Below are 24,950 nucleotides of genomic sequence, written 5' to 3'. Positions count from 1 at the left end.
CAATAATCTAGAGTTCTTCAAAAATATGTCTACTATTATAATACAATGTGTGATAATAAGGCAATTGGTTCAATTTTTTTCATGTACTTATCTCATAGCTTGACCTTAAGTGTCCATAATTAACCTGTTCTAATAAGCATTTATTATGTACTAACTAGATATCTAGTAATGTGCAAAGGAAAAAATACAAAGGTGACCAGACACACTGTGGTTCAGATTTTAGTGTATTGACTGTGTCTAGTCATACTTAATTATAATAGTTACTAATGTTGCTTCGAGATATATGGAACTTTATTCTAATAATTTTAATATTTAATTTTTAGTCTTCTTTTTATAGGAAGTAACACTCCATTAATTAGTGCAGAATAACTTTCACTTATACACATTATTTTAAAATTTTGCACAAAAAAGCATATGTATAAATTCTTGTAGCATTACAAAGGGATGAGGAAGACTTCTAAATGAATTATGTATTTCAACAAAACAATTTTTGCTAATAAACTTGCTTATGGTAAAAAAGTAAACACATGAACTAAAAAATGTAAACCTACGCTGCCTTGACATGGATTAAAATCCCTTCCTTTCTTAGCTAATATAGCCTTAGTCAGCAATTATGTACCACTTATAAAGTATGTGTTTATATAATTTTAGTAAATGTAAGGATAGCAAGTGATCCCATATTGTCAGTTGTGTTGGACATTAAAGAGCTACTGTTTTTATCATATTGTCATTCAGATAAATCCCCTGAGATATTATCGAATACTCATACCCAGTTGGCTTCATAAAAAGTGCATCTAAATGTTCTGTGGTTGTCACATCACCCTGAAGGACCTCTTCACCATCTATGAGACTGAAGATATCATATCGCCTCTCTACACCCTAGCCATTGTATGTAACTCTTTAGTTATTAGCAAAACTAAATAAAGATTGTGGTTTGCAATGATTGCCTTAAGAGACAAAAGTTTGATATTTCTGTGTGTTTATGTGTGACATACATAAACACACAGGAGATGAGGCAGATTAAGTTGGAATTCGAAATATTTTATTTGACTTGAAGTTATTCCATTAACTCTAGATAATATGTTAGAGGGCAGAGCTAGACTCTTATTTTTTAGAATGTTTAACTGCTGAGATATTTGGCAAATCTAGGATGTTGCAATGACCAGTTTCAGAACATTATCAAACTATAGCACTGTCTTTTCAACCTGGCCTTCATAAGGGTTATAAACTAGAAGATGTACATCTTATAAACTTCTTAAAGTAAGGAAAGGGAAATTTATTGTCACAAATAATAATATCTAGAAATCAGTGTGATGCTTTTTCGAGAGGTTGCTCACAGGTGGATATATTTTTCTGGATGTAAAATAAATTCTAAGAAATGTATTAACTTTTGGTTGCATTAATGATATACCTAAAATTATATCTGGTAAATACTTTTAACAGTAGAATATAAGGTCTCTAAGAAACAAATGTCTTATGATGAATGATGATTATTTGGGGTTCTTCAGTGTTATTATGGGCACTGTCCTATTGATAAGCCTGGTCTAGATCAAGTTTGGCAAACACATTTTCCTCTCAGAAATAGCAAGGAGTAGATAGATTCTAAGCACTAAATATGATTTTGGTGTCATGTTGGGGTTTATTTACCTCCCGTGAGATTAAGGAATTTGTGGTCAGGGACTACATTTAAAAACAGAAAAATCAAAGAATCATTTTTCAATCACTGAGGATACTATCTGGGTTTAAACAGTTTAGATAAATAGCAACTGTGTTTATTCACCTATTGATCATATTCTCCACAACAATTTTCACAGACTGCATTAATCCCTGTTAGTATTACAACTGATTCAAGATAATCTTGTATAAATAGTTGCAGAACCTCTTTATATTTCCTTTTTTATTTTACAGCAAAATATACATTGTTTTAGGGTAAAATGAGGCAATGACTAGATATTTATAAGCTCCAGTTCCTTGGAGAATATCTCAGTGATTTAGTCAACATATTCCTTTAGCTAGGCTAGTCTAATGGTAGGTATACTTTTGACATCATATCCAAAATATCTTACCAAATACCTTTCATGTTCCACTTTTCAGGAGTGAGTGGAAACTTTTCTGTGAAGGAACCATGCTCCTTGTTCATAGTAGGGCTTACAAGAATGAGGCCACAGTTTGGGAAATTGACAATTTGGGGAAAGAGTTTACATAAAAAGAAAGTATTACAGAACATACCTTTGTTGATTATCGCTACTAGGCAGAAAACCGTAGGTCAAGGCCACGTAAGCTAACTACTGCAAAATCCTGTGGGGTGCAGAAGCATCATTCCCAAAATCATCTTAACATGATATAAGTAATTTTTCTATTAGATAATTAATGTCACTAGATGTTTCTGGGCATCACGAAGGACTCAAATTAGCATGCTCTTGAATCTTCACTCTGCATCTTCTAATCAGTAGTGCAAAGAATTGATGAATTTATGCTGAAATGAAGAGAGGGCAGAGAACATATATCCTCCATTCTTCTGACTCATTGACAAGATGCACTGTTATGTGGATAATTATAATTAGAAAATTTTCCTCTAATTTTTGAGCCATGTAGTCATCGTCCTTATGCTAGATAGGTTTTGGAGACAGCAACGAATGGCAAATATAGTTACAATGAATGACATTAGTGGAGGGCTTTATCTTAAGCTACTTATTCAAGACTATGGGATTGATCATTAGAATTCCACAGCAGGAAAATAGATACAAATAGTTACAAATACATAATTCTACCACACAAGTACAATACATTCCTCATACAATTTCATATCTAAACAGTAAATTTTGTGCTAGTGACGCATTGCCCTTTTCCCCCTGATAATCATGTTTCATTAAAATCTTAGTTTTATATTTGGTGGGCAATTAAATATAATTTTATAGCATGTTTGGCCTTTCTGACAATTTGGCACTCTTTTCTTCTCAGAATCCTGTATGATTTTGTTTTCTACATTCTCATCTTTTTAGATTGGAAGTTATTTATGATATCAGCTCTGATAAGCTAGTTGCAGAACCTCTTTATATTCCCTTTATATTTTAGAGCAAAACATACTTTTTTAAGGTAAAATGAGGCAATGACTGGATCCAAAATAATAATTTTAAATGCAGCAACTATGCAGATTTCAGCTGATGGGCTATGAGGGAACTATACACCAACATTTCACTGTTTCTTTCCTTTTTAAAGTATTTTATTCTCAGGTTTACTAATTTTTATTCTTATCATGGACAAATATTTATTTAAGAAAGTATAGAAAAAATGCCACCCAGTGAAAAATCACTATTTTTCTTCTCCTTTAGAAAATATTTTAAGTATATTTTACAATTTCCTTTTCATTCTTTTTTTTTCTATAGATGACCTGTGTGTTATTTATGTAGACTTTATACATACAAATAGATTTGCTGGGTCACAATCTTTCCTCCAAGACCTTATTCACTAAAGATTTTATCACTTATACTGATATCCTTGTCCCTCTCCCTAGGCTAGCCATTATTCTGAGTGATGTAAATTATCCTTGAATTACTCATCTCTAGTGATTTTCACTTCCACTCTGCTTCAGCCATTCATTTCTATGGGCACACATTTGTTGTCATCCCAGACTGCTCCAACTCTGAAATGTTATGTAATGAAACACTAACAATGATAAACCACTCTCAGACCATGACCTTCTTCTCTCCCTCTCATTCACATACCCTCTGTCACTGTCTTTCTCTCTCCCTCCCTCTCTCCACTTGATATAATTATGCTCTTTACCACACAAGGCATTCTGTACTTTGATTCTCTTATTTTTCCCTGTAAGCTCCCTTCTACCTCTCCTTGATTCCCAAACCAATTTAGATTTTTTTAACCCAGAAAAATCCTTTTTTGTGAGGGGTTGTTCTGTGTAGTATAAGATGTTTAGAAGAATTCCTGACCTTTACTCCCTAGATTCTATTAGTACCTCCCTCCCAAGTTGTGACAACCAAAAAGGTCTCCAGACATTGTCAAATATCCCCTGGGGTTTGGGGGCCAAAATTGCTTCTTATGAAAACCTGTAACATTAACTCGTTTTTTTTTCTTACATTGTCCTCTTACTGATTTATGCATTGTCCACCCATCACAATAGCCTGGAGGCACACCAATCCTGAACAGCCCTACAGTCTATCTTCTTTATCCCTATTCCTGGGTTTTTAAGCAATGCTTAGGGAAATGACACAATGGTTTCCAATTTCATTACCACCTAGCAAACTTTCTTTGTTCCTGTTTCACTCCTCTATTCTCCACAATATCTCTTTTAATAGTTATCCACATTCTTTAGGATTCCCATGTGTCCATCTTGGCCCCCCTTCTGATGCATGGAGAAAATAAGTCTCTCAAATTTCTGCCCCTGAACCTGAAAACGTACCTGGATCATCCTTTCCTCTTCTTTTATAGTGGAAGAAGGATTCCTCCTCCTGCCCAGTGATAATTTCTCCATATGCCAGCTCCAATCCTGACCTTTTCAGGATTCTTACTCTACTAATTATCCTGTCAACACTTAGGGAGTTTCACACATATCTGCACAACACAATTTCTCTTTCCAATTACTTACCTATTTCTACCTTTTTTTTTTTTTGTAGCTCAGTAACTTCTAAAAAGTTAAATTTTATTGTCGCTACTTGAATTCAATCTTATATTCCTCATCCTGTAATTTATGTAAACTTCGCTAGCCAGTATCTTACTATTTATTATACTTGACCTCTTAACATTTCCTACTGTTTAATTGCGTGAAAGACTGTTTTATATTGCTGTTGCTTTTAAAACATTTTCCACTTTTGTTGACACCACAAATTCCATGTCTTTCTTCCATTTTTCAGACATTCTTTCTTAGAATCCTTTCAAGGCTTTTCTTCCTTTACCTGCCCAACCTGTCCATGTTCTTCAGGGTTCTATGCCCAACCCACTGTCTTCTCACTGCATATTACCTCCTAGATAACCACACTCACTCCAACAGCTGAAATTTTCATGTACAACCCCTGTACAGATGATTGCTATCTTGTAGTATAAAATCATACTCACATTTATATTCCCAGAGCCAAATTAGTCATCTTACCACACAAAATACTCAACATATTAAAACGTGTCTATTATTTTTATGCACTATAACACAATGATGAAAATGTTGGGCATGGTGGCACACACCAGTAATTCCAGGGCTCTGGGAGGCTAAGGTGGAAGTATTGCTAGAGGCCAGGAATTTGAGACCAGCCTGAGAAATAGAGCAAGTCTATAAAAGTAATTTTTAGAAAATCAGCCAAGAGTAGTGGTGTGCTCCTGTAGTCCCAGCTACTTGGGAGGCTGAGATGGGAGGATCACTTGAGTCCAGGAGTTCGAGGCTGCAGTAAGTTATTATAGTGCCACTGTACTCCATTCTGGGTGACAGATGAGAACCTGTCTTTAAAAAAAAAAAGATACCTAACGGGTCTGATAGGGAAAGACAAAGTCAATCAATCAGTTAATCAGAAACAATAAAAATCATCATCAAATGTTTAATTATTGAATTACAATTTTCAATGCTATAGAGAAGTATGGGGTTCAATAACTCAATCCTTATATTCATTTAATCATTCTGTCTATGGCTTCTTCCTTCTAAATATAGCTTGTATGTGTCTATTTCTGTGTGCCTTGCTAATACTCTATCTCAAAGGATCTTCTTCTCTTTTCTGGATTCTTGTGTAACAGCTTCTTAACTGTTCTTTCTACCTGCAATTTTACACCTCTGAATCTGCCTCCACAATTCAGCCAGAAAGACTTCCCTAAATTCCAATCATGTTATTCTTCTGTTTAAAATCCCTTAATAATAATAGCTATTTGTAGAAAATTTACTATGTGTCATGCACTTGCCAAATAATTCTCCTTTAATCCTTACAACAACTTTATTAAGTATTGTTATTATCTCTATGCTACAGATAAGGAAACCAAGACATGGAGGAAATATCTATTAGGCCCAAGGTCAAATGGTAGACATAGGATTTGAACCATAAAGGACTAAAATGAAAATTTCTCATAGATCACTCTTCTGCTTAAAATCCTTCAAAAGCAATTCTTGCTATAAGGATAAAATACAAATTTCTGACCTGTCATATAAGCATTTGCAGGATCGTAACTACGTATATGTCTCCAGCTTTATGTCCTGACCCTGTCTTGATTAAACCCTGCAGTTCAACCACAGTGAACTTATTTAACACTGCAGCATGCCATAATTTGTTTTATCCGTAGGGTTCTGCCTTCATTTACAGTAACAAACCCTTCCCATCAAATCATACGCCCCTGTTTCCATCCCCTTCTGGAACATTCTTTCCTGGTCTTTATACTGACTCACTCCAACTCATCATTCCAGAATCAGCCATCTCAGACCATTTTCAAAAACTTACTGAGATTGCTGCCCTGTTTAATTTTCCCCTTCCTAGAACTTATTCTCTGTCTTGTCATTATCTGTCTGAATCCCACATCTGAATAAGTTCCTGAAGTTCATATCAAAAGTCTTGAAACATTGTAACCATTCTGAAAACACTGGCTGTAGCAATGGCTACCTTGTTCTAACCTTTGTTTTGTCCCTTATGCCTATGAGATTTCTTGTTTGCCTTGATAATTTAATTTTGGGCATGTGCCAATTTATGCCTAGGATCAAGTTTCTTTTTTTATTTTAGGTTTTCTAATGCAGAAAAACTCTGTTTTCATGTGGAGGTCTTATTTCAGCTTTTCAAATTTTACCTGATGACGTCCTTGTTTGTTTGAACATGTCTGTATATTTATATTCCAAGGGGCATGAAACCAGGATCCTTGGATAGTTTCCAGGAGATATAAACCTGAAAGCACTTGTCTTATCCCTCATCTAGAGACATTTATTTGAATGCCAAAGGTAAGAACCTAGGAATCTTCCCCTTCTCTACCCAATATTTTGTTTACATTGGAGAGATTATTTCCTCTTCTCTCAGGAGGTAAGAACGTCAGCTGGACAGCATGTATATTAACTCCCAGATTCTTAATTATAGGGCTCTTCTCTTGTATGACACACATACTTGCCAGCCTATCCATATGGCTCTTCTTTCCAGAAGGGGGAAAGAAATTGAAGTGTAGGGAACAGATATAGCTTCTTCTATGGTTACAATCTACCTTGATCCCGTAACCTTATGTTTGCATTTAGAATCATATAAACAAATGCAGATATTCAAAACTTATCAACTTCCTGCTTCTTTTTCATAGAAGTCTTGTCAAGTTGGGTACTAATGAGAATGATAAATAATTAAAAAAAAATTTTTTTTTTTGCACGATTCTTTACACATGCAGAAAAAGGGTAACATTTGATGATGTCCCAGGGCAAACTGATTGGACTGCTGCATGGGTCCCAGCTACCCCAGGTTCTCTCTGGTTACCTTGAGAGCTAAGAAGATTAAATTTCAGTCACCTGTGGACCTATCTGCAGCCTCCAGGTGTGCCACAGTACACTGGCTAGTAACCTTGGCTCTAGAAAATCATTTCAGATAATTTTTTTTCTATTTTGCAGACATTTTATAGCCTGTCTTATAGTTGTTACTGCTGTTTTTTTTTTTTAAATGACAGTAGATTCTTGAATGAAGACATCCATCCAGACCAGGTGCTGGTCCATAGACAGAATTAAGTGTACCCTTTGGCTTCATCTGTTGTCCACTGTCCCCAGCTATAGTGCTCTCCTTGTGGATTGTTGTGCTGCTAGTGGTTACAAATTTTCCCCTTGAGTGTCTTCCTTATGCTATTTGTGCCATTCTTTTATTACAGCAAAATTACCTTTCTATGGTCGTATAACCATAATAGGTTCATTGCCCTATGTGCAGGGCAAGTCAATACGCCGAGACACTGGGTGGCAGCAGAGAAAGAGGTTTAATCGTAGGGCTGCTGAATGAGGACATGGGAGGAAACCTCATATCCATCTCCCCAAGGAGTCTGAGGGTAGGGATTTTAAGGGTTTTGGAGTGGACCAAAGTGTGGAGATTGTTGAATGGTTGAAAAGTGCACGGTGAAGTCTTGGGAAAGGGAGATGAAGAAACTATATTTTCAAACTGATTCGGTTCTTCTGTGAGGGTCTTCAAACTGGTTAAGTGTCAGCTCTTTCTCTGAAATTCAGAATCTGCTTAAGCAATTCTTAAACACCTTATGATTCTATAATCAGAAATCCTATTTATAAGAACAATTAGGATGCAAATGGTCAGTATCTAGGGCTATGTGACTTTTGATTACAAAAAAGTGGGTCAAAGTACAGCCTGGTTAATGCTTAATTATAACTATATTTTTGTCTAGAATTCTTGTTAACTCTGTGAAGGTGATTTTAGAGACTTTTTTTTTTTTTTTTTTTTTTTTTTTTTAAGAGATGAGGTCTTGCTGTGTTACCCAGGCTGGTCTCAAACTCCTGGGCTCAAGCAATCCTCCTGCCTTAGCCTCACAAAGTGCTGGGATTACAGGTGTGAGCCACCATGCTCGGTAGTTACTTTCTTTTTCTTTCTTTCTTTTTCTTTTTTTTTTTTTTTTTGAGATGGAGTCTCGCTCTGTGGCCCAGGCTGGAGTGCAGTGGCGCGATCTCGGCTCACTGCAAGTTCCGCCTGCCGGTTCACGCCATTCTCCTGCCTCAGCCTCCCGAGTAGCTGGGACTACAGGCGCCCGCCACCACGCCTGGCTAATTGTTTTTTTGTATTTTTAGTAGAGACGGGGTTTCACCATGTTAGCCAGGATGGTCTCGATCTCCTGACCTGGTGATCCACCTGCCTCGGCCTCCCAAAGTGCTGGGATTACAGGTGTGAGCCACCGCGCCTGGTCTCCGTAGTTACTTTCTATTCAAAATCGTTTGTACCAGAAGAAAGCAGGTGGACCACAGTCCCACTGACAGAGCTACAGGTTCTTAAAGTCTCAATGTAGTAATTTAAATTTTAGGTATATTTAGTCAAATTGGCAGTGCAAGTTCTTTTATACATAAATATTTCTAATTGAACGTGCTACTTTCCCTAAAATTAAATAAAAACTGGCCTTATCTAATGCTCTATGTAGGAAAGTTCTTAAAGGATTTTAAAGAATTTCAAATTTGTCACAATTTATTTTAAAAGTATCCAAAATTGCACATGAATCATATCATAATTTTAAAAGTATTAAATGGAGTATTTTAAAATCAAAATGCTGTCTCATTACTTTCAAAATCTGTCATTATCACCTTAATAGCTAAGAATTAAATGATTCTCCTTTGTGTTCCATTTAAATTTTACGAAGGTTTTAAATAGCTGATTAGAATTGGGGAGGATAATCTGTTAACAGAGAAAAATAAGTTGTAATTATTTTATGGTGGGCATTCATTCAAACATATTTATTAAGCTACTCCTCTGAGTAAAGCAGTGTTAGGTATTTTGAAATATCAAAATAAATACGTAAAGTCAGAAGAGGAATACATACACACAGATACTTCTATATTTAAGAAAAATAACTTGTATGTACAAAGTCATGTTTTAATAATCTTAAAATCTGTTTGGAGAAACTAGAAAAAGACTCCTGAAAAATTCATAGTCATATAAAATCAAATAGGAAATGCCAAGTCAGCGATTTGGCTGCTTTCTAATTCCTAATGAGGAGCAGTCATTTATTGTTAGGGGAAGAGGAGATTGCTATGGACCAAAGGTATCAATGAAAGCTTTATAGGAAGGAAATAGAGACAAATTAGATTTGAGCAGGCCAGGAGAGTGGAGGCAATGTAAACAGAGAACAAAACACAGGTAAGAAGAGGATTTTGAAAATCAGCTGTGGGTATAGGAAGAGGAATGGGAATTGAAGGACAAACAGACCATGAACAAATGAGTCTTGTTGGAAGTAAATAAGGGATGACGTTAGCTTCATGAAGCTGACTATTTTTAGAGAGGATGAGACTGATTTCCAAAAGAAGGGAAATGTGGACTGGATGCCTCTACCATCTTTAAGGATCATGAGTTGTGAAATAAGTAAATTATTTGTTTAAACAAATGCGTTTGCATTTGAGTTTTTCTCTCGTTTTTTACTTTAATGTGATGTTTATAAATCTCTCCCTTTCTGTTTGATTCCTCTGCCAAAGTGTTTGGCTACTGAGTACACATTTTTAACCTTTTTCCCTTTTTGCCCCAAGAATACCCACCAACAGTGCTTGTGGCTGCAGCATTTACCCTGAGAACTTTGCCACAAAATATCTGGCTTTTATAATTATTTTCACATCACTCTAGTATGTCAACTTTGGAAACAAAAGACATCATTCTATTTACAGTATTCTGTTTTTAGTAGTCGTATTTCCACTTACAAAATATAGTAATTCTCGAGGGATGATAACGTCAAATCCTAGAAAATGTAGCATTCCTATGTGTGATATTAACATCATTCTCAAACAATTGTTGGCTGAATTTGATGAACTCGATATTTCCAAACTAGACGATTCTGATGATTCTGATGTTTGTTCTGTTTAGAAATAACTCCAAAAACAACAGTTTTTATATTTTAGTTTTACATTGAAACTCAGTCAGATTTGCTTCAGCCTCAAAGAGTGTGTTTATGTAAAATTAAATGATCACTGGCAACGAGCTGTACTTTTTTTTTTTCCTAAACGGGAAAAGAGTTAATAATGAATATTAGCTATCCTCAAAACCAATTAAAAGTTAAAAAAAGATAGATGAGAAGGAATGAGTGATTGAAGGCAGAATTAATGAGAGAATCTATTAAATAATCCCAGAAAATAATGATTGTAGAGATGGAAAATATCTGAATAGCCTGAAATTCACAAGAACTAATTATTTCAGCATTTTGTTTTTTATTTTTTCTTTGTCACTTTCAAAAATCTTTTGTAGATATTTGTCTTTAATTTTTATTAATTATTAAATCTTCTTTCCTTTTTATAGGCCATAGCTGTTTCTTCCTACTTTCTGAAATCTTTCATTTCATTAATCTCTCAACGCTTTAGTCTCTGTCACCATAGCCTTTGTTATTTTTTGAATTAGAAAATAAGATAGTGTTATTCACTTCTGTAATTTCCTTTTATTTCTCATTTGAGTTCTTTAAAGTTTTTATTAAACATTGTCTCTCATCATTTTATTTCATTTGCAGTTTTTAAATGTTTATTACCAGTGACTAGTTTTTCACATAGGAGAGTAGATAAGTGAATGTCTTTCTGTTAAAGGAAAGGCTTTTATTTAACGTAAAAAAAGGTACTGTAAAATACACAAATACATTATAAAAAGTATTCCACACATTCTCTTGCTATTAAGAACATGTGCATAAGAAGAGTTATAGAATCCTATTAATTATTTTATATCTTACACTATTTCTTAAAATGCGTATAAGTTTTTGACTAAGCTATTCTGCTCTTAAGCTGGTAGTCCTAAGATTCTCTACTGAGGGCAAGGCCTGTTTCAGATAAGTATCCTCTTTTTAATAAATTAGTGCTAAGCCTGCTTAGCTCTTTGGGGATGTAGTTGTAGCAGACAGGAAATTGGCCTTGTTTATGGCCTTTCTTTTGCGGCCCTGAGTGGATTTTCATGCTTGTGAAAATGAGATACTGGCAGCAACCGGAATTAAAAGAAGGAAGATATTGGGCCCATTTACTCTTCTAACTCTGCTAAGCCATTTTCACTCTTATAAGTAACTTTCCTCCTCTTGCAGACTTGAGCCTCTCCTGTGCAGAAAATTAGGACAACATCTGAGGAGGGCTAGGACAAGGATAACTGTCCACCAGGGACCAAGCTAAGATTGGTAAACCAATTTTCACTTGTGAACAATGCCAGAATTCGACCCATATGTCTCCCATGGTGAAGCACTGTAGTGCGTCATTAACCCACTGTGCCATTTAGCAGCTTCTCTCTGCTTGCTGTCCTGTGAATTAACATCTCTGCCGCCACCGCACTAGACCCTGGGTTTATTTCTGCTAGGAGTGCTGCTGAATGAATAGCAGTTCTCTGTAACGAGGGATCAGGGCACAGCTCTTTCAAATTTTCAACTGAAAGCAATAGCAATTTGCCATTCAGTCCTATCTTATCATCATCATTAGGATGGGAAATCACAATCTGAAGGCTCGTTGTAATGTGCTGTCAACCTGATATCTTGTAATTTTAATATGTAATACTGTGGTTAATAATTAATGGCTTTAACTCTGTAGGTGGGATCTGAATTTGGCTCCACGAAAGAAATCCCTCTGAGCTGAAATATTCTTTGAGACTTCAACATCTTACGAAGTTTCCCCTCAATCAGCCTCGTTGCCTTCTTATTTAAATCATCTGCCATCTAATGAATCTGGATCAAAAGCGCCAAGCTTAAAATATACAACAAAAAGCTGCTTCTGGGTGAAGAGTTTGGATCCAAATCAATACGTTTCTGTGCTCTGGCCATTATCACATGCAGTTAACTGCTGGGAAATACTGATGTTCAAAAGATATGGTGGAAAAAGGCACCTGCTTTCTCACGCTGGTTTATGTTTGTCATCTTGATAAAAATGCAAGGCAGCATATGCAGAAATTGTGCGGAAACACCATTCACATGGTAATTCCTTTGTATTTGAATAACTTCTTTTCAGGTGGTGCACTGAATGCCAGACTTGGGAGGATTTGAGCATCTCCCTGCCTTCAGTTCTTCCGTGACAATATTTTAGTGTCTGGCTCACTTTTTTGATCAAAGAAGATCATTTACTGGGACTTCAGAATGAAGGTACTGCCCCCTGATTTTCCTGGATCACAAGCCATAATGTAGAAACGTTTCTCACATTTTGTCTGATGAATATTACTGACAATATAACAAGGGAAAAAGCTCCTTAATTCTATCAGCCCAAATCTTCTTTAGTTTAAGTGCTGTTTAACAAGCAGAAAAATAACTGGGTAGACTCAGCGTAACCCCTCATAAATCAAATCTCTGATAAATTTTAGTAATACTTCCTTTTGCAGGCTTCAGTTACACTCTGCATTTCCAAAATATTAGGTTTACAGTCTATACCTGCCTGGTGTTTTTAAATTCAGGAACTTTGAGTATTATTCTACTTATAGAAATGAAAGCTTAAGATATTTTAAAAGTTATTCTGGAAGTACACTGAAGCATGTTGAAAATAAGAATATATATATTATATATGTGAAATATTAAATCAAAAATGGCTTTGGGGCTTAACTCACATTTAATTATAATCAGTTGCTAGTGACTTGCTTGGAACTCCATGTTGAGAGGGATGGTGAGGTTGTAGCCAAACTCTAAAGGTAGAAATTTTTTGATAAATCATTAATGTTTGTCATTTTGGCCAAAGGTGAGAATAACACACTCATGTCCCCATAGTGTCCACTCTGACCCTAGGAAGCCACTTATGATTGGACTTGGTGAAGTACATATGGTAAGCAGCTGATAAAGCCAGCATTTCGAAGGTCAAATACATGTTGTTTTTGTCTTAAATTTACTAGTGCCTCCTTTTCAAATAGTGTCCTCAATTCCTAAACACTCTTTAGATTTAGCTAAATTGATTTTCTTCTACAAGAGTCACTTTTATGATTATATTTAGTTTTAATATTTAATCATACCAAGGTATTTAGTAAGTCTTTTCTTTAAAGTCTTTCTATGTAAGGCTTAATATTTGAGGCTATTAATTCATAGCTAACTTCCCAGCCAACTCTACCAATAAGATAATGGCTGTGTCTCTACTCAGGGCTCAAAATCAAAACTAATGAGGCTGGGCGCTGTGGCTCACGACTATAATCCCAGCACTTTGGGAGGCTGAGGCAGGTGGGTCACTTGAGGCCAGGAGATCGAGACCAGCCTGGCCAACATGGCGAAACCCCATCTCTACTAAAAATACAAAAATTAGCTGGGCATGGTAGTGTGCACTTGTGATCCCAGCTACTTGGAAGGCTGAGGCACGAGAATCGCTTGAACCCGGGAGGCAGAGATTGCAGTGAGCTGAGAGTGCACCACCACACTCCAGCCCGGGCAACAGAGTGAGACGCAGTCTCAAGAAAAATAAATAAAATCTGATACGCTCCAACTAGTGGGAATATAAGAAGTGGTTCATTGGAACCAGCTTGCATTAACTTGTGAGAACTGATTGCTAAATTATCAGCACTATTGTGAGCAGGTTATTAAACACAGCCCTTATTAAACATTCAATTGTAGAAACTTGTAACAGTAAATGGTCTTTAAAATAAAAATAATACGTTCTTTTTGTTTGTTTGGGTTTTTTTGTTTGTTTTTTGTTTTTTTGAGATGGAGTCTCACTCTGTTGCCCAGGCTGGAGTGCAATGGGGGCAAGCTTGGCTCACTGCAACCTCCACCTCAAGCAATTCTCGTGCCTCAGTCTCCCAAGTAGCTGGGATTATAGGCACCCGCCACCACGCCCAGCTAATTTTTTGTATTTTTAGTAGAGATGGGGTTTCATTATGTTGGCCAGGCTGGTCTCGAACTCCTGACCTCAGGTGATCCGCCTGCCTTGACCTCCCAAAATGGTGAGATTACAGGCTTGAGCCACCTTGCCCAGCTGTTTTTGTTGTTGTTTGTTTTGTTTGAGACAAAGTCTCACTCTGTCACAGTCTGAAGTGCAGTAGTGCAATCACAGCTCATTGCAGCTTCAACCTCCCAGACTCAGGAAATCCTCCCACCTCAGCCTCCAAGGTAGCAGGGACTATAGGCAGACACCACTATGCCCAGCTAATTTTTGTATTTTTAGTACAGACAGGGTTTTTCCATGTTGCCCAGGCCAGTCACAAACTTCTGGGCTCAAGCCTGTCTTAGCCTCCAAAAGTGCGGGGATTACAGGCATGAACCACTGCTCCTGACCAAAAATACATTTTTAATACTCACAAATTCTTAATTATTTCACTAAATTTGCTTTCATCTATGTTCTTGAAGTCATTTATGCCATTTGTATCTATATGTTGAAAACAGTATATAATGATATGTTGATGTGCATTTCTTCCCAACTCTGCCTTCAGTGATATTATGTTAGTGATTTGTAATTGGCATAACGTGTTTACATCACAGAAATTGGAAATAATAAAGGCATGATTTATTATGTTGATTGTCTAGATTATGAGCTAGCAAACTTTCTGTAAAGTACTAGATAGTAAATATTTAAGGCTTGATGACTATGCAGTTGGTCTTTATTACAACTACTGTATTGCTGTTGAGTGAAAGCAGTCGTAGGCAATACATAAATAAACAGGCATGACCGTGTTCCAGTAAACTGCATTTTCAAACCAAGAGGTCAGCCCACTGGCCATAGTTTGCCTATGACTGGTCTAAACCAAAGAAAGCAATAGAAAAGTGTTTGTTAATCATGCTGATTAAACTAAAAATGTGCCATATTTGTAGCTATTACAAAGTGAATAGCACAAAATTTTGAGAAGTTATTCTTTCAATGTTTGAAAATTATTGTGATTCAGTAAAAAATTAGGTTAATAAGACTCAGAATCAATTTGAACAGCCTTAGTCAGAGGGGAAATTTGGGAATCATTAAAAATAATGTAATGGGTTGAAATCCATCATATTTATTTACATCCATTTGTTTATAACAGTATTAAAATCAACATTGGTAGGTGACCTTTGAGGATACTAAGGAACCAACTTATTATTTTGAAAACTCCCATATAATAAAAAATAGTCAAGATTTTTTTTCAACTTTTTCTGAATGAACTATACTTCAGGATGAGAAACTAGTTTATAATGTAGGTTACATTTTGCTCTGGGATTATTTCAGTTAATACATGAGAAATAAGTAGTGGAATGTCAAGATTTTATAACTCCTATAAAGTTAACAGATCTAGGCAATTATCACAAATTGCTGGAAAAAAAATAACAAAATGAGAGACCACTGATATGCAAATCCTGATTTGGTTATACAACACCACCTATGAAAACAAATTACTCAAATAAACCAAAATATGATCGAACCACCAGATCTACCCATCAATTTATAAAAAATAAAGGAAACAGAAGAAGATATGAAACCCACCATGAACATGCAGTGATCAGCAAATTTCAGAGCGTGACAAACTAATCCAGTTTCTTTAACAATAATAGAAACAAATTGCAAAGAAATATAATAAGATGGATGGCAAACTATAGAATTAAAGATATATTAAAAAATCATTCAATGGCAAAGCTGTGATCTTAATTGGATCCCCACTGAAGCAAACAAATTGGTACAATGTGAACAATGAGCAGTAAATCAATGATAAAGAATCATTGTTATTATATTTTAGGTATCATAGTGGCATATTTATAAAAATGAGTGCCTGTCATCTAGAGATACATCTTGAAATGTTTGCAGCTTAAATAAAATGATAGGTTAAAAGATTATATATATTGATTGTTTTAAAATATTCAATGAAAAAAAGAGGGTATAGTTGTATAATGAACCACAATTAGCCTTGAGTTGATAATTATTAAAGCTGAGTGATCAATGCATAACCATTCATTATATTAGTTACTCTACTTTTTATATTTTTGACATATTCTATTATAAAACTGAAACAAAAAATAAAACAGTCTCTAATTTTATAGTAGAGTTAGGCTTCTTATAACTCTCTAATCTTGAAGATTTTCTTAAACTGGAGGCACTTTTTCAGTTCTGTTCAAACCAGTTTGCCAGGCACTAAGACAAATCTCTAGTTCATTTATGTTATGTTTTTTTAGAGACAGGATCTCACTCTTTTCCCCAGGCTGGAGTGCAGCAGTGTGATCACGGATGGCTCATTGTAACCCTGAACTTCTAAGCTCAAGCAATTCTCCTGCCTCAGCCTCCCAAGTAACTGGTACTACAGGTGCATGCCACCATGCTCAGCTATTTTTTTTAACTTTTAATTTTGTAGAGATTAGATCTTGCTATATTGCCCAGGCTGATCTCAAATTCTCGGCTTCAAGTGATCCTCCCACCTCAACCTCCCAAAGTGTTGGAATTACAGGCATGAGCCATTGCACCCAGTCTCTTCAAAAACTAATACCTTATGCTTTTGTCTCAAAACCTCCCTTTTCACCTTTATTCTCAGCCCTAGAGCATTTAAATCAATTCTAAGAGAATTTCTGTAGGCTTCTACTGCCATATTCCCATCCACCAGAGCTGTCTCTGTGTGCTTTTCCTTCCATCTTCCTATCCAAATGCAGTTCTTCAACTTGTGCACTAGATATCAACCTCCTTATGTCCACTCAGACGGGTTCATAAATTATCCCCTCTTCTCTATTATTTTCATGCTATCATTGCTCTCATCTTAAATAAGAATGTCTCTTAACCACCTCTCCCCTAATGACTACCATCACATTTCTTTGCTCTCCTTCACTGTAAAGGTCTTCAGAAGAGATATGCAGATGTATTGTCTCCAAGTTCTCTTTTCCTATCAATCATCTCTGAAATCCACTCAATTTGAGCTTTTACTCCCACTACTCCACCAAAAAATGATACTGTTGAGCTTACCTATAACCTTCACATCACTAGGCTAAATGGTCAATTTTTGGTTCTCATGTTACTTAACCTCACAGTACCATTTCACAGGCTTGCTTACTCCATCTTCCTTAATATGACGGCCTCATCTGTGCCCTCCAAACTGAGCATAGCCTTATCCAACTCAGCCGATGGCAACTACATTCTGATTGTTCAAGACCTTTGCATCATCTCCCATTACAAAATTCTGTTGGGTCTTTCTTTAAAATATGTCCTGTATTTGATCACTTCTCACCAACTCCTTGGCTATCACTCTGTTTTAAGCCATTATTTCTCACCTGGGTGACCGCAATATTCATTCAACTAGGCTCCCTGGTTCTACACTTGTTTCCCAGCAGTCTCTTCTCAAGAGCTCAAGTGCTCTTCTGAAGATGTGAGTCATGTCATAGCACGCCTCTGCTCTAGACTCTGAAACGACTTCCTATTGTACTTGGAGAAAAAGGGAGAGTCCTTGAATATGCCCAAAGACCCTGCGTGATACTCTGCAAACCCCACCAATACCACTCTGACCTTGCCTATGGGTCTCTCACTTACTCCACCATTGCCAGAAACCCCCAAACATCCTCATCATTCCTATTTTATTCACCTTTCTTCATCTATTGCTTTAGCTATTTCCTCCCCCTGAAAAGTTCTTTCCTCAAATATGCTCATTTAGGTAACTCCAAAATCTCTTTCAAGTCTTTGCTTAAATTTCACTTTTTCAATAAAGCCTGGCCAGCCCACTCTATTTCATACGACAACATGCATCTTATTTTTCCAACCTGCCCCACTCTTGATTCCCCATTCTCTGTTTTCCTTTTCTTATATGTAGCACTTTTCATTTTCTTGCCTATTTTATATTTTTCTTATTCTGTTTATTGTTTGTTTTCTATCTCCTCACTTGGATATGGCAAGAAATTCCTATTTGTATGTGTCTTCACTTATTTATCCAAAATACTTATAAAAGCTTCCAACAGATAGCAGGTAATCCACCATGATGTGTTGAATTAAATTTTCAAGGTTCAATAAAAATAGCCAATCAAAAGTCCACAGTTGTGTCCCTTTTCATGTAATCATCTTTGTAGCAGTCACCCAAAAAAGAAGATATATCAAATAATAATTTAAACTTGACTGAATAATTATTATGTATTTTCCCAGCAAAGTTAAGTTTCTGAAGTGAGAATTTATTCATTTATTACAAGTTTCCTATATTTTCTGTGTACACAGTGGTTGAGAGTCAGGAAAAAGATATCAGGAGAAAACTAAGTTGTTGGGAAAGATCTGACTACAGAAAAAATGTTTGCCCCAGGCATTTAGAAGCAATAATATATGGAAGATATTCTTATAATTCCCTTAAAATAGGAGTTTGAGACTGAATTAGAGAAGTAATGACAAAATAAATCTTTGACGTCACGTTATCCATCATCTCCATAATTTTTCTTAAGAAACTGCTGATTGCAATTGTCTCTGTTGACTCAAGGATTAAAAGTTCTAACATTTTTCTTGTGAAGTTATGTTCGCTATATAAAATTATTAACTTAATTGTAAAGCTATCTTCACACTCTTTACGTTAATCAGTAGAGTCCTATTTATCTCACAATCACCTAATGCAAAAAGAACAAGTTCTTGTGGGGAAATATTATTTTTCAACTCTAAATAGGATGGAATTAACTTCAGGAGTTATTTGATATTCTAAATGAGGAGTGAAGTTGATTGTTTTAAGGTACTATCTTTCCATAGCTGAAATAGGGGCTTATAATAGTATTTTAACAATTTTAATAAAAGTTCAATTTATATTTCCTTAGTATGAATTTTTTCCTTACCCTGCTGGTAAAATATGGGATTATCATTCAACATTTGTTATCTCTTAGTAATACTGGTTAGACTAGCTCTAAATAGGACAACCACATTTAACCACATATAATGGGATGTTATGCATTGTAAAAGAAGATTTGATGGATACCAAGCTAGTCAGCAAGCATGTGGTTAGTCAAGATGAATCATCAATGAAGATAATGTTTGATAATTGCTTTGGTATTGTGGTGTGAGGATGGTTTTTCTGGCTTTGTCTCTTCATTCCTAATCTCTTGGAGAATTTAAAAAAGTGTTTACATCCTATGATTATAGTCCAAGCTCTACACCAAGTTGTGGCTACATTTAAAATTTTAATCTCTTCTGGAGTACTGTTGGTTTATCTTTTTCAAGATTTGCCTTGAGAGCTCTGCGTTTTAATGCTGATTAGAGAGATTCCTTAATTCATAGTCTGAAGGGAAAGAAAAAATTCTGAAACCCTTAACCATAATAAACAGGTTTTATAAAAGTTTAAATTCCACTGTAGTTAATCAGTTTGAACAAGACATTTAGGCTGTAAATAGTATTTTAAAGTAAACAGAGCTTTACACAAAGTGACAGCTAGAATCACATTTTCTGCTTCTGAGTGTGAGGAAATTAATGTACCAAAAAAGTGCCTACTATTTAAAGACGTCTTGCTCCAGACATATTTAACAACTGAGATTTGCAGTGGGTAGACCACTGAAGTGTCTCGTCATTAAATTATGCACTGTACATTAGAAACAGATGCACTCCTGGAAGTCTTGCAATGACAACATTGTTTTGCCATTTTCCAATTAAGACATTGCTAAAACTGAAATCAGAAGTAAACTAACAGGTCAGCTATCTTGATCATGGAGAAATGGTGTAAGTTTTGAGAAGACCTAGTGGTTTTCATTTGTATCCTGATATAAATTGGAAAGCTAATCCTTCACCTTGTTTTTCTCCAATATCTAGACAATTTACAAATTGATTCATTTTAAATATTGCTCAAATTTTGTTCAAATATTTAGATTTTAACATGCCAATATTATACAATACTTTGGCATATTTGGTCACAAGAAAAATCTTACAAAGCAAATAAAACATAGCAGTGGGAAAAAAGTTGTGCCTATTCTTTCTAATCAGTGGCAAAAAATAGCTATATAGCTCTCTGGAAATGATCTGTAGAAAACAATATTTGAAGGAAAGTGGAATTGCAGTGAGGCATATTTATTTGGATGGTATAGAACAAAATAAGTGTACAAAAAAGGAGAAGGGTTATTGCCCTGGATAAAGCTGCTATGGTTCACATTAGACATGTGATATCACTATTACTATGAATCCTATTTTATTAACCACAACAATTTTCTGTTGGTCTTTCTTTTGCAAAAGAAAAAAATGTTGAAAATAAAATTCCAATACACTATTCTCTGCAACTCCCTTACAGGGAAAATTTATATTCTGATTACTTCAGCCAAACAAACATTTTACTGAATCAAAGGGAAAAGAAAAGCTGCTAATTGTCCTCATTTATGGTTGCTATTCCAATATGAATCAAGAAAAATAATTTTTTTTCCAATTTTAAAAATTGTGGGCCACATGTTCTTTTGCCTTCCATCTGTTTATTTTTATATAAATTTCTACACTAGGAATTTTATACTTTAAAAAACAAGCTCTAAAATTGTTCTACACCCACAAGTAGGCTTCTTGGGTCTATACATATGCATTAGATATATAAAATCCAAAGAGATAAACTAAAACATCACTTTCCACTGAAAAGATTGTTAATTTTCAAAATGGCTTCCTATGACTGATTCTTTTTTAGCCACTGCCCAGTTGAAAATCTTTGAGAGAGAAAAAATTCTTCATTCATTTCTCATTCCTTACAAACATAGAGCGGAACAGTCTGAGCCTCAGAAAATTAGTCCCAGGTGATATTTTGCTAACCTTAATTTTGAAGTAATGTCAAATGAAAAACTGTATCTATTTAGTTAGTTTATACATGTCTAAATTTCTTTGGATTACTGCAGTTTTATTAGTTAAAAATACTGTTATACATGAGTTGAGGTTTTTATGGGGAGGGAAAACATGCATCATGTTATGAAAGACAGACATATTTAAAGTGTTGCCATTTGTTATACATGAATTAGAAAAGGATGACACAGCTATGTTTTGAAGTCATGTCTTCATAAATTATTTTATAAATAATAGTTAAAATAAAACATCAAATTTATTTTTTCAATACTTTTTTTCCCTGTAATCTTTAAATCCAGGCATATATTAAAGAAAACTAGATCCTTAAATTTCTAAGTTATGTATACTTGTGCAACCAAAAGAGATTTATATGGCTTTCTTATTTTTTAGTCCTGCAAGTCTTTTTAATATTTATGTGTTTATTTGCTCAGAAAGTATTTAAGTCCATATTTTTTTGTCGAAACTGGAAATTGTGCTTTGTTAAGTGTAAACAACATAAAAAACCAAAAGTATTTCCTAAGTTTGGAATTAATCTCCCAATCCATGAAAATGGAGAAACTTCTCACATTGGCAAAATGTGTTCCTACCCTGGCTACCAAAGAAGAAGAATGGGCCAACAAGTAGCTTTAGAATTTTTGCCAGCAATTTACATATGAATCAAATGTGATCTTTCTTTAAATTGCACTTAATATAGGAAGTACAGCCATGTTTGATTTCAAGCTGAATTGATATGTGAGCAGTCATTGGCTGTCCATAATTAAAATCTTACAGAAAGCCCACCTATGATGAGCAATTTAATATTTGTGGTCTTAGTTGGTAAACTATGCCAATTCCATGAAAAGCATATTTTCATAGTTAGAGCCAGGCTAACCACATAGAGCTCTTTCTTTCTCTATCCATAATTATATAATTAGATTATTTTTATCTTAAACATACTTTGAAAACATTTTCTTTATGGTACATTATTAAAGAATCATGCCTTCTAAAGGTCTCTTCCTAAGCCAAGAAATCCACATGTTATGTATTATGCAGAAGAGATTTTCATGAGTAGATTTCTGTAAAGCTTTGAACCAAGGTCCAGGAATTATATTACAGTTTGCCAGTGATATTTAAAAAGTGAGAGTAATATAGTTGCAAAGCAAACTTTAGTAAGATAATTGATGGGAAATGATATTGAATGTTAGAAAAAAATGTTGTTATTACTCTTAATGCCAAATCTGTGTTTCTCATGAGTTAGACTTAAACATTTAGGATGAGATAACTGTACCCTCTATATAAGAACTGCATTTACTAAGGAGGGATGAGAGGAGGAGGCAGTCGTAATCTGTAATAAGTCTATTCTGTCTCTATATTTGGTAATGAATGTATATGTCATCTTTCATTTTCAGGTCTCTATTTTTCTCATTTTATTTTAAAAACTATTTATTTATTTATTCATTTTTAGACAGGATCCCACTGTGTCACCCAGGCTGAAGTGCAGTGGCACCATTATAGCTCACTGCAGCCTTGAACTCTTGGGCTCAAGTGATCCTCCTACCTCAGCCTCCCGAGTAGCTGGGACTACAGGTGCGTGCCACCATACCTGTATGTATGTGTGTGTGTGTGTGTGTGTGTATGTGTGTACATATATATTACATTACACATATTATATATTATATATATTACACATATTATATATAATATATATTACACATATATATTATATATTACACATATTATATATATTACACATATATAACATATGTATATTATATAACATATATTACATATATAACATATATTATGCATATTATGTAACATATATGTATTACACATATTATATATAATATATATTATATATATTACACATATTATATATTTTATATATATTACACACATATACCTATATGGTTTTTTGTTTGTTTTGTTTTAGAGACAGGGTCTCGCTATGTTACCCAGGCTGGACACAAACTCCTGGCCTCAAGCAATTGTCCTGCCTCAGCCTCCCAAAGTGGAAAGTGCTGGGACTAAAGGTGTGAGCCACTGTGCCTGGCCCTTGTCTCTATTTTATATATGCCCAGGAGATAGTGCAAATATGTGAATAAATAAACAAACTAGGAATACAGAGTTTGGTAGCTATGATTATAAACTCTGGTAACTTGCTTATTTTTATTGTGTCTCTATTTTCTCTTTCATTACACTAGAAATGTCAATTGCCTACCTGATGGCTGTGAAAAACAGAAAGAAGAAACAAAGACATATCTGTGTAAGGACAGAATGGCAAGGGACATAGAAGCATGTGATATGATAATCCTACTCAACTAAATAGACAATATTAGTGAATGGCAACTTGTAAATGGTTTTGATTATATTTATTTTATTTTCTGTCTATCTAGATGTAAAGGTTGAGCTTGAAAAAAGAAAACTACTCTTGACGCTGAAGAACGCAATCCAACATGAAAGAATGCTTATTTCAAGTTTTACCTGAATCTACCTAGAGCTGAATTTCTTATCTATACTTTACTACAGATATTCTGCTTTGTGCAGATCTACAATGGATCATTAAAGTCAAAGGACAATTACTTATCTTTCTACTCCTCCCAGTACCCAAGACCTGAGAGTGAGATATTAAATTCGTCCTTAGATCTTTCATGCAATGTTACAGCTCTTTGGAACTCCTCATGAAGCTCCTCCTCTCCATGGTGGAATTTTACTCTGAGGAGAGATAGGCTAAAATGTTTCAGTCCCCTATATGATAAGTCCAAAATCACCGTTTCACATATATGCTGACCTGATACATTGAGTCACTGATACGTGTCTTTCCACCTTCAGTATATTTTCTTTGACTAGCTTTATTGCTTCCCTGTGATGCTGAATTTTGAGCATGGATGTGTGTGTCCATAACAAAACCATCCTAGGTAAACTGAATTTGGTTATTTGAATTTCATAATTACTCTTTACTCCAAGTGTTGTGGATTCATGATGCAAATTTACCCATTCCCATTGCAATAACTTAGAGCCAAATATCAATTATTTTAAAACTTGGTTCTCATCACTGAACTAACAGTGTTGAAAAAGACAATTTGCCTATATTTAATAGTTTGCTAGTAAACTTTATTTTGGGTTACATCAAACTTGTAATAAGTAGTGACTGGATTGGGAAGGTGAGGTGTGCTGATTTAAGGATGCCTCTCCATCTATTTTATGTGCTAGAAAATAGGTAGCAAAAAATAAATCTTGCAGTACTCTCTTTTGATTAACTACACATTTTCCATCTTGGAGTAAAAAGTAATTATGAAATTCAACTCTAATTGTATAGTTTTTCTGTGTAAAATAACTGATGAAAATAGAATAATTTAGATGCTTTTTCTTTTATTTTTTATAGTATTGAATAGTGGAGCATAACAAATAGTACCTTCAGTTTGCTTTCTCTGGAAAAAAATGATTTGGTAAGATTTTACATGTCCCACAAATGCTCTTAAACAAAAGATATGTCCCCAAGTGGACAACAGATAAGTTTTTATTTTAAAAAGGAAAGGAAGAAATGTATATTTCTAGAATTTTCTAGCTTATAAGAAAAATAAGGAGAAATCTTCTAATGGCTGGTTGGCAGCTAACTCTCCAGTTCCTCTACAGTGTGCAAATTATATTAAATGAATTCATTGCATTAATGAAGACAAACTTCACTGATATTTGAACAATGAATATAAATGGTTTGGAATCA

At 34.9% G+C, this 24,950-nt stretch overlaps 1 long non-coding RNA gene across 1 annotated transcript; it reads left to right on the top strand.

The window, feature by feature from the left end:
- Positions 1 to 768: 768 nt before the first annotated feature.
- On the top strand, positions 769 to 12,724 carry LOC107987085 (uncharacterized). The gene is made up of 3 exons (XR_001746766.2): positions 769 to 888; positions 11,686 to 11,775; positions 12,593 to 12,724. It is a non-coding gene; the product is annotated as an uncharacterized LOC107987085 (long non-coding RNA).
- Positions 12,725 to 24,950: the final 12,226 nt, after the last annotated feature.

Source organism: Homo sapiens, chromosome 9 (assembly GCF_000001405.40).
Source record: "Homo sapiens chromosome 9, GRCh38.p14 Primary Assembly".
In the NCBI taxonomy this organism is placed as follows: domain Eukaryota; kingdom Metazoa; phylum Chordata; class Mammalia; order Primates; family Hominidae; genus Homo; species Homo sapiens.
The sequence above is the reverse complement of the archived record's forward strand: the minus strand, read 5'-3'. Positions and strand labels throughout refer to the sequence as shown.